We start from the raw sequence: 1,928 nt of genomic DNA on the forward strand, positions 1-1,928 counted from the left end.
TTCACCTAGTGGTGCATGTGGAACCATAGTTCTTGTTCTCTCCTCTTTATGGGACAATTTATAGACAATTAGAAGATTCCCCCTTGGAGCTATCACAATATAGATTGTCAGAAAAGGCTGTTTTTTTTTCCAGCCAGCAATTAGTAGTCTGGAGTTAGAGTTCTCTTGGCAGGTTAAAGGATCCAGTAAACTGCCCCTCTTCCCTGGATCTGCTGGCTCTCTTCACTTTGCTAAGGCTGGCCTTAGACCCTACTTATCCAGAAGCTTGATTTGAGCTGAGCACTGTGGGTAGCCCTGAGCCAGGGGCAACTTGGATGAGACCTCCGCCCCCAAGCTCCCGGTCTGCAAACTAGTAAATGTGAAACCAGTCCACAAGACTTGCACTTAGCAAGTCTAGTGCCTAGCTGAGATCAGCATGCTGGAGGACTGGGGCCTTTATGGGGTGCATTTGTCTGTTCTCATACTGCTATAAAGAGCTACCTGAGACTGAGTGATTTATGAAGAAAATGACTCACAGTTCCACAGGCTGTACAGGAAACATGGCTGGGATGTCTCAGAAAACTTACAATCATGGCAGAAGGTGAAAGGGAAGGATGCACATCTTACCACGGTAGAGCAGGAAAGAGCAAGCGAAGGGGGAAGTGCCACACGCTTTCAAACAAGCAGATCTTATAAGAACTCACTCACTATCACGAGAACAGCAAGGGGAAAACTGTCCCCATAAACCAATCACCTTCCACCAGGTCCCTCCCCCAACATTGAGGATTATAATTCAAAATGAGATTTGGGTGGGGACACAGAACCAAACCATATAATAGGGGAATGAGAAGTGGAGACAAAGAAAAGCAGCCAAGGAAAAGCTTTGGTGGAACTTGGGTGTGTCTCTGGATGTCTGTGGAGTGATCTTTCATCCCAGCGTGTCAAGCCCTTTCATGTTATGCATTTTTATGCATATTGTTTCTTTTATCCTCTCAACAACACCCAAGAGGCAGTTATTATTACCTCCTTTTAAAGATGACTTAATTATTCTAGGATTGAGTAAATAAAGAAATATATTGTGGATAATGAAAGCAAGGTATGACTTAGAGGCAGTGACGTGTACAGCTCAGATCTTAAGTACACAGCTTGATAACTTTTTCCATGGACACTTGGGTAATCACTACCCAATCAATATTTTCAAGTGTTCAGGTCAAGTGTGGTGGTTCATGCCTGTAATCCCAGCACTTTGGGAGGCTAAGGAAACAATATATATATTTTTTAGCACACTCAAAACTCCCTTGTGTCCCCTCCCAGTCATAAATTCCCAAACATAACTATTATTCTGACCTCTAACACCATAGATTATTCATTTTGCCTGTTCTTGAACTTCATATAAATTGAACCATACAGTACATGTTCTTTTGTGTTTGGTTTCTTTCACTCATTGTATCTGTGAGATTCATCCATGCTATATGTGTAGTGACAGTTTTTTCTTTTTCATTGATGTGAAATTTTTCATTGTATAGAATATTATCTAACCTACTACTGATGGACATTTGAATTGTTTCCAAGTTTTGACCTTATGAAGGAAGCTATATGGACATGTTTGTGCATGTCTGTTGGTGGATATAAACACTCACTTCTCTTGGGTGTATATCTATGGATAGAACTGCTAGATCATAGGATTTATGAATATTTATTTATTAATTATCATTATTTTTTTGAGACGGAGTCTCACTGTGTTACCCAGGGTGGAGTGCAGTGGCGTGATCTTGGCTCACTGCAACCTCTGCCTCCCAGGTTCAAGAGATTCTCCTGCCTCAGCCTCCTGAGTAGGTGGGACTACAGACATGCGCCACCACGCCTGGGTAATTTTTAGTAGAGACAGGGTTTCATCCTGTTAGTAGAGACAGGGTTTCACCCTGTTGGCCAGGCTGTTCTGGAACTCC

At 42.3% G+C, this 1,928-nt stretch overlaps 1 annotated feature.

Moving 5' to 3' along the window:
* Positions 552-641: an enhancer, noted in NCBI's record as "active region_21581". NCBI's record gives its function as "activates an Ori minimal core promoter by ATAC-STARR-seq in GM12878 lymphoblastoid cells {active_cell/tissue: GM12878}" and the evidence as "EXISTENCE:reporter gene assay evidence [ECO:0000049][PMID:35858748]".

Source organism: Homo sapiens, chromosome 4 (assembly GCF_000001405.40).
Source record: "Homo sapiens chromosome 4, GRCh38.p14 Primary Assembly".
NCBI classification, from domain to species: domain Eukaryota; kingdom Metazoa; phylum Chordata; class Mammalia; order Primates; family Hominidae; genus Homo; species Homo sapiens.